General features: G+C 55.3%; 3 annotated features.

Annotated features, from left to right (window-relative positions):
* Positions 1,504 to 2,106: an enhancer, noted in NCBI's record as "H3K4me1 hESC enhancer chr4:7137065-7137667 (GRCh37/hg19 assembly coordinates)". NCBI's record gives its function as "activates a minimal SCP1, AML or CMV promoter by ChIP-STARR-seq in naive H9 embryonic stem cells {active_cell/tissue: H9 hESC(naive)}" and the evidence as "EXISTENCE:reporter gene assay evidence [ECO:0000049][PMID:30033119]".
* Positions 5,138 to 5,793: an enhancer, noted in NCBI's record as "H3K27ac-H3K4me1 hESC enhancer chr4:7140699-7141354 (GRCh37/hg19 assembly coordinates)". NCBI's record gives its function as "activates a minimal SCP1, AML or CMV promoter by ChIP-STARR-seq in primed H9 embryonic stem cells {active_cell/tissue: H9 hESC(primed)}" and the evidence as "EXISTENCE:reporter gene assay evidence [ECO:0000049][PMID:30033119]".
* Positions 5,794 to 6,448: an enhancer, noted in NCBI's record as "H3K27ac-H3K4me1 hESC enhancer chr4:7141355-7142009 (GRCh37/hg19 assembly coordinates)". NCBI's record gives its function as "activates a minimal SCP1, AML or CMV promoter by ChIP-STARR-seq in primed H9 embryonic stem cells {active_cell/tissue: H9 hESC(primed)}" and the evidence as "EXISTENCE:reporter gene assay evidence [ECO:0000049][PMID:30033119]".

An 8,117-nucleotide genomic window follows, 5' to 3' on the forward strand; every position in this document is an offset into this window, starting at 1 on the left:
ATGGAAGTTTAATTCCTTTGCCTCAGGATACATAGTGGCATTGTGCACATAGTAGGCACCTTATTGGTGTTGGATAGCTGAAAGGCAGAGTGGCAATTTGAAGAATCATCTAATTCAAGAAGTTTTGCATGCAGGCCACCAAGTGGACATGAGCAGAAGTGTCCAGGTGGTGCTCACACATAGTAGGTGCTTTATTAATGTAGGCTAGTTGAATGGCAGAGCTGGGATTTGAAGCACTGACTCTTGATTCAAGTAGTGTTCAGGGCAGGTCACTAAGAGGGCAGGTGTGGAAGTGTCTGGGTGGCACCTGCTCATAGTAGGTGCTTTATTAATGTTGGCTAGCTGAACAGCAGAGATGGGATTTGAAGCATTGTCTCTTGACTCAAGCAGTGTTCAGTGCAGGCCTCTAAGTGGGTAGGTATGGAAGTGCCCGGGTGGTGCTCGCACATAGTAGGTGCTTTATTAATGTTGGCTAGCTGAAAGGTGGAGCTGGAATTTGAAGCACTGACTCTTGATTCAAGTAGTGTTCAGGGCAGGTCACTAAGAGGGCAGGTGTGGAAGTGTCTGGGTGGCACCTGCTCATAGTAGGTGCTTTATTAATGTTGGCTAGCTGAAAGGTGGAGCTGGAATTTGAAGCCATGATTCTAGCTATGTTCAGTGCAGGCCACTAAGTGGACAGGTGTGGAAGGCTTTGCATGTGGTAGGTGCCTTTTCAATGCTGACTAGTTGAAAGCCAGAGCTGGGATTCAAAGCACCATCTGATTCAAGAAGCGTTCCGTGTGGGACACCAAGCAGATATGTGTGGAGGTACTGGGTGTGGCTTGCACACAGTAGGCACTTAAGCAGCATTCCTTCCCTTCCCTGTGTCTGGTGGAACCCTCTGGAAAGGAACTTCCTCACAGCCCCCATTTCTTCAAGCCTTTGCTCCCTGCCCTGTCTCTGCATCCTCCCTCCCTGGCCTCTCTCCCTGTGGGGCGGGGTACGCCTTCCTCTGAGTGCATCATTTCCCCTGAATGCCAAGACACTCAGAGCAGAGGGCGGGGATGAGGTTGCCAAAAATGCAGGCTTGAAACCAGAGATGTTTTTCAAGGAGGAAAAGAATGTTAAAATCTTGGCCTAAGAGTTTTCCTCCCAGAAGAAAGCGAGTACCAGTGGCTCCTTGGCTTCTCTCCAGCTCGCCTCTTTGGAACTGAGTCGGGGAGAGGAAGTTGGGGCTTGAGAGTGGCTTTATTTTGCCCTGCAGCTTCACCCCCGCTCCTCAACTCTGCGCCTCAGCTCGTTCTCCCACCTTCCAGGAATGACCTTTCCCTGCTCAGCCCCAGGGATCAGCTTGAAAGCATCCTCCTCCTCCATGAAGCCTGCCTGGGCACTTCAGCCCCGCTGCACTGCATGCTCACAGGGTGAGGGGCAGGCAAGTGAATTGCACTGAGACACAGACAGCCCTGGGTTTGAGTCCAGGCTCTGCTGGCCATGTGAGCTTGAACAAGTCCCCAGCGTGCCTGGGCCTCAGTTTCCTAGGTGTACAATGGGCATGGTGAGGGCAGCACTTGCCGAGGCGCCCCTGAGAGGGTAGAACAGCGTCTGTCCCCAGTCATGCTTGGCTCTGGCTGGCAGCAGGAAGTGCCTGTCTGTCTCTGTCACTGGGTTTCTACAGAGGCCTCCTGATGCCTCGCCTTTTGCGACCTGCCCCGGCTGAAGAAGGGGCTTGCGGGAGCTCGGCTCTGTGGTTTCTGGACAGGCTCCCATCCCTGCAGCTGGAAAAACAAGACAGAGCTCGTATGCACCTCCCAGGCTGGGGCTGCAGACCTGCCCAGTGGTTTCCCCGGGACCCCCGCAGGCTCGACATTTCTCCCTCACTGCTCCCCGCACGGTGCTCTGAGATTTCTTCAGATGACTTTATTAAAGGCAGGTGCTCTCAGATGACTTTATTAAAGGCAGGTGCTCATCGTCATCTGGCAAAGGCTTTATTTAAATTAACATAGCAAAGAGGAATATCAATTAACAGCCTTGCAGCCCTGAGATGAGACAGTCTTGAGGCCAGTGACCTGGTCACTGGGTTTTAAGAGTTACAGAGACATTTTGCTAATCAGCATAGAAGTTTCTCCCTTCCCTGGAGAAAGAGGGATAATTTGGACAGGAACAGACCTGGGGCGTGAACCACCCAATGTGTAGGGAGGCAGCAGGATGAATTGTAAATGCCCACGTTTGGGACCTGTCTGAATTCCTGCTATGCCCCTGGCTGTCTGGGGGCCATGGGCAAGTTGCTGCCTTGATCTGCACCCCAGGCCTCTCGTCTGGGAAAAGAGAATATTCTTTCCTCAGAGAACCGTGCAGATTAGAAGAGACGGTGTGGCGAACTGTCTAGTCTGCTGAGGATCTCAGAAGGTGCCCGAGCCCCTCTGTAGGGGCCCTGAATACATGTCCAGGCAAACGCCTTAAAATGTAAATTTCAGCCTGGGACTCTTGGTCAAAGGCTTCTGACTTTGAGAATTAAGTCAAAACTCTTCTGCTTGGTGTTCCAGTCCCTCCTGCTTGTGAGCCCTGCTGTCCCCTTGCGTGGTGCCCCTGGAAATTCCTACCTTGCACTCAGCTTCCTGGTCTCTCACCTGGAGAGGGGTGGTTCACTCTCGGAGCTACCCTGCCTCTCCTGTGTAGCACTCCCAGCTCAGGCATTTTAACTTATTTATCTCGTCTACTGTCTCTCCTTCAGAACTGGGCTTCTCGACCTCAGCACTATTGCATTTTGGGTGGGATAACGCTTTGTGAATAAGTGGGGCTGCCCTGTGTGCTGGAGGGTGTTTAGCAAGACCCCGCCTCCACCTGTAAGATTCTAGTGACACCTCCCATTTTCCCCAGGGTTATGAAAACAAACAAAAAAAATGTCTCCAGTCATTGCCAAGCGTCACGTGGGCGACAGACCCGCCCAGGTTGAGACCCGCTGCTCTAGAACGTCTGCCGCGAGCAGGCAGGGGGCTTGGTTTGTTGTGTTGACTGTAGGGTCTGCCTTGCTTCCCCAGCCTGGGGCAGGGCCTGGCATGTAGGCAGCGCTGAATCAGTCCTTGCTGAGTGTTACTGAGCAACAGAACACCTGCTATACTTGCCAGGCATGCAGCAGACCCCACGGCAGGTTGTGTCACCCCATTTACAGATGAGGAAACTGAGGCCCAGTAAAGCACCAGCTGCAGGTAAGAGTGTGGGCAAGGAGGTGATAGGAACAGGTCTTGCTGTAACCTAATGGCCTCTTTGGTGTGTTAGGGGCGGGGACCACTTTGAGCTAGCAGATGCTAGGTGTTGGAGGGGCTACAGGAAAGGTGACCTTGTCAAGGAGTGAATGAGTGTCTCTTCTTAGTTCTCAAGCTGACAAATAACAGCAGACAGCACATTAGCGGGAAAGACAACTGGAGACCTTTCCCCCAGGCTGGTATGGAGATCTTTCCCCCAGGCTGGTATGGAAACCTGCGGAGGGCTGAGACCCCCAGTCTGCAGGCGGGGCTTTGGGTGGGTCAGCCTGCCTGTCTTGGCACGAATAACCTTGGCTCGCCCATCCTGATGGGCTGGGGTCTCCTGAGAAAGCCTCTTGGATGCCAAAGGGCCTGGTGGGCTCCGGCGTTGATTGATGGGCTCTGGGAGTCAGTCCACAGTCAATCTGTATCAGCGCAGGGCCCGATTTGAAATTCAAATTCCAACTAACCAGAAAATGAATATGAATTTCATATTTTGTTATTTTCACCGACCGGGCTGCGTCTCTGCCAGTGGCGCGGGGGTGCGGCAGGCTCCACTGCAGAGGATACTCATGACTTCCCACCCCCACCGCAGCCCACACTGCGGAAGGTTGGAGGAAACATCTCCTCTCATTGGGTATTTCACCTTTGGGTAGACGGCGAAGTAGAACCCAGAGATGACTGGGGCCACCCTGCCTCAGTGAGGGTAAAAGGGGACCTCCAAAGACAGGGTGTCTCATGTCCCATCCCCAGTATCGCTGCATTCCAGAGTGGCCCCAAGGCCTGGCCTTGGAACCTGGAGAGTGGGCTCTGCTGGAACAGGGAGGTGGTGGGCACCGCGAGAGGCTGGGCGACCCTGGCCAGGCCTGGAAGTAGAGCCGGGAGGTCCATGGCCCCTTCGGGCTGCCTTGATCTCCTGACGAAAGCTTGGGAATGCACCTGTCAGAGGAGGTCCACAGACCGACCGCCTCGGGGCTGGCACGTCCCGCCCTTGCTGTAGAACCCAGCGCCACCCTGGCTCTGCTGTCCCCACACTGTTCCTTCCTGCCATGGGATGGGGTTGTGACCAGGTTTCCATCTCCAGCCTCATCCCCATCTCTTCTCCTAGCCCCACGCAGAGCCCCCAGGCTGCTCCTGTACTCAGTAACCTTCGGTGGCTCCCTATTGCCTGAGAGGCAAGAAGCCATCAAGCTGTGGGGCCATAGCTTGGCTCCGTCAGTTTATTAGCTGAGTGGCCTTGGACAAGTTTCTTAGCCTCTTTGTGCCTCAGTTTCCTCATCTGTACGGGGGGATAAGAGCACCCCCCTCACAGGTGAGTTAACACACATGGATGCCCGCCCTGGCGGTGCCTGGTGCAGCGAGCGGGGCTTCTCTCGCTTTCATTGCTGACCCAGGGCGAGTGCTCCCTGGCCTCCTTCCCACCATTCACCTCCTTGCACCTGGATGGGGGCAAGGACTCCGGCCCCTACACCCTCCCACCGGTCCTTGGCACCTGCTGTCCCTCTGCCAACGCTCTGTCCCTGTGTCCCTCTGCCCACACATCCCTTCTTTTAGTTTGCCTGACACCGACGCATCATCCTTCCAGGATTCACTCAGGAGTTCTCTCCCCGGGAAGCACCCTCGGCCCTGCTAGCATCTTCGGCCTTGGCCTGGCTGCCACAGTGGTCTGGGGAGCAGGTGGTGCTCTCGAGTCCTCCGTGTCTCATGGAGCATAGGCTCCTTGAGGGCAGGGCTGGGTCATGATCACCTTCCCCATCATTGCTCCTGAGCATGGAGCTGGCCAAGCTGGGACTTGCTGGGGCTGAGTGGCCCCTCTGCCCAGAGAGTCTTCTCTGGTGAGTCTGTACTCATCACTACCAGCCTGGCTCAGCCTTGCCCCGAGCTTCAGGGGGCACCCACTGGAGGTGGGCTACCTCTGAGCCTCTGGTTTCCCAATGGCATCCCCAGCTCTGGAGCTGGGGACCTGTGGGTACTGTCTCCTCCCCACCATCCTTGCTTCCAGGGCTCACCAGGAGAGGGCTGAGCATCCTCCAGGGTCTGGCGCTCCTGAGCACCGTCCTGGGCTCTGTGGTAGGAGCTGCAGCCTCCCCATAGTGCCACATATAATAGACTGCATGTGCCTATTATTATTGGACCACTTGGCAAGTGCGAGGAGGACTGTGTTGGAAGGAGCATCTGTCTGTATCTTGTGGGCTCCATGAAGCAGGGACCAGGACCAGGTCTGCCTGATTCCCCACGGTGTCCCTAGCACCTGCCAGTGCCTGGCATGTAGTGGGTGCTGGTTACTGAGTAGGTTAATGAGTATTTCCCAGAGTCACCCTTGTTTCGACTTAACCTGCCCAGGGTGGGACCAGAAGGCAGCTGTGAGTCCCCGTGCGGTGTCTGGGCTGTGGGCAGGGGTGCAGTTGGCACCCGAGTGCCTTTGGAACTGCAGTGCCTGGACCTCTGGCATGTGGGCACAAAGCCAGCTCCCACCCGGTTCATGTCCCTTTCCTCCTGTAGCCTTCAGATGCCATCTGGGCTGGGACTGCTGCCTTCAGGGTGGTCCCTGGTTCTGCCCCCACCTCCCTGCTCTTCTGAGGCCCACTGAGCTGCCTGTAGCCAAGTCCTTCAAATACATGACCCGGGACATGGTGGGGCTGCTCTGATCTGGGGCAGATCTCCTGGGCCCCCCTCCTGCTCAGCTATCTGGTGGCCTGGTGTGGTGCTGTGAGCCTCGGCAGGGCCTCCGGCTGCCCTTGGGAGGGGCCAGTGGGTCATGTGTTGCTACAATCATCTCTGTGCGTGGCACCTCCTTCCCAGGCTCCAGTGCTTTCTTTATGGCTGACTTGGGGGCAGGCTGCACCTTTTCTGGGTTTGCTCCATTTATCAATCCCTCCTGACAGTGCCAATCGTGGCCCCATCACTCTCCTGTGCTCCCAGCTTCCAAATGCGCTCCTCCCTGCCTTTCTTTACCAGCCTTTAGAGGGAGGAAGGGGACACCGAGGGGAAGGGGAGTTATTTTTATTAAAATCTGCATGAGGGCCCACACTGCAGCTCTTAAGTGTTGCCTGCTTCACCTGCCAACAGTTCTGCAGGGAGGCAGGAGCACAGCCATCCTCACTTACACAGCAGAAACAGAGAGGCTGAGGGAGTACCCCCAACGTTACACAGCAAAGAGCGGGGGCAGCTGGCATCTGAACCTAGGCAGCCTGGTGCCCGTCTATGCTCCTCAGCCTCTCATCGCTGCTCAGCAACGGCCTTATTACCAGAGAGAGTCCACGTGAGGGGGCCAGAGGGACAAAGTCCTTTGTCCAGGCAGCCATTTATTCAGCAAGCAATTCCGAGACCCTGATCACTGGGAATAGAGACGGGAACAACATTTTATTTGTATGCATTCATTTAATCTTCCATAGTTAACACATATAAGTTAGGTGCTTTTATTAACTTCATTTTCCAAATGAGGAAATAGGCACAGAGGTGTTGAGTGACTTGCTTAAGGTCACACAGCGAGTAAGTGGGGAAGGAAGACAGGATCTGGCCCCAGCTGTGTCTTGCCTTGGAGGCATTCACAAGCTAATGGGGAAGACAAGAGGAGTGTGCCCATCACCATGCAGGGCTGTAGGATCCCGGGGGAGCACCGAGGCACCTGGAAACCCAGGTAGGAGCCTGACTGGGCAGCCTCCCAGGAGGTGGGGGCGGGAAGCCTCCGTGTGCTGAGGCCTGAGGGTGCCCACTTTCCCTGGAGCCCCACTCACCCCGCACCTGTGTCCTGTGGCTGCTGTGCCCCAGCCTGCGTGGGGTGCAGGGGACACAGCGGGCATGGGCATGGCCCCTATTCTCTGGGGCTCTTCCAGGATGAGGGAGTAGCAGGGCTGGCCCAGCTGCTGAGGACCTGGTGCCAAGGCCCCAAAGAGCACTGGCCACAGAGTCTTCCATTCCGCTGAGGGCTGCCTCGTCCTGGGTGGGGTGGGCCGGCAGCCAGGCACCCCTCCTGTGGGGAACATGAATGCTTTAGTGGTAGAGCCTGGCATTGTGGACACCCAGTAGCCAAGTCTCCAGCAGCCCAGGCCGCTTCCCTCCCACTCACCCGCCTGCCACTCCTCACTACTGTCCGTGACCTCGTCTGATAGAAAGCAGCTTTGCAATTGGAGGCCTCTTTTCACGGAAGCCCTAGGGGTCCTTCTTCAGTACTCATGTGATGTCCACACTTGAGGCCCCTCACTGTCCTCTGCACACTTCCGGGCCTCCAGCTTGAAGGAAAAGGCTGGGAAGAAGAGTCCACGGTCAGGAGGAAGTGACTGCGATGAGCAGATTGAAGGACAGAGTGCCGGGACTTCCGCCGCTCATGGGCTGTGTGAGTCTTAACCTCTCTGTGCATCAGGTCTCAGGGTCAGAGAAACCCAGGGGGTGGGGAGGGCTGTGGCTCCACTGTACAGAACGTCCACCTCCTTCATACCTGAAAACCTTAGTTTTAACCAGAGTCACATTAGCGGAACGTCTCCCATCTGTCCTGTTCCTGTCACCACCGACCCAGCCCTGGTTCAGCCCCTTGGAGCAGGACAGCATTTTATGTGTGTCATACATATTCCACTGGGTACACAGGATGTTCGCCCCAGAGGACAGCTTCAGGGCACAACCTTTTGGGCTGATGGAAATGCTCTTTATGCTGATCGTGGTGGCTCCATGACTATATGGATTTGTTAAAACTCATAAAACTGTACACTAAAAAGGGGTGAGCTTCACTGTGTATGTATTATACCTCCATTAAAAAATTCTTCATAAAGGTCTTACATATAGTTCTTAGATTTTTTTTCTTTTCTTTTCTTTTCTTTTTTTTTTGAGACAGAGTCTCACTCTGTCACTCAGGCTGGAGTGCAATGGCGCAATATCAACTCACTCTACCTTCCGGGTTCA

The sequence above is a fragment of the Homo sapiens genome, chromosome 4, assembly GCF_000001405.40.
Source record: "Homo sapiens chromosome 4, GRCh38.p14 Primary Assembly".
In the NCBI taxonomy this organism is placed as follows: Eukaryota; Metazoa; Chordata; class Mammalia; order Primates; family Hominidae; genus Homo; species Homo sapiens.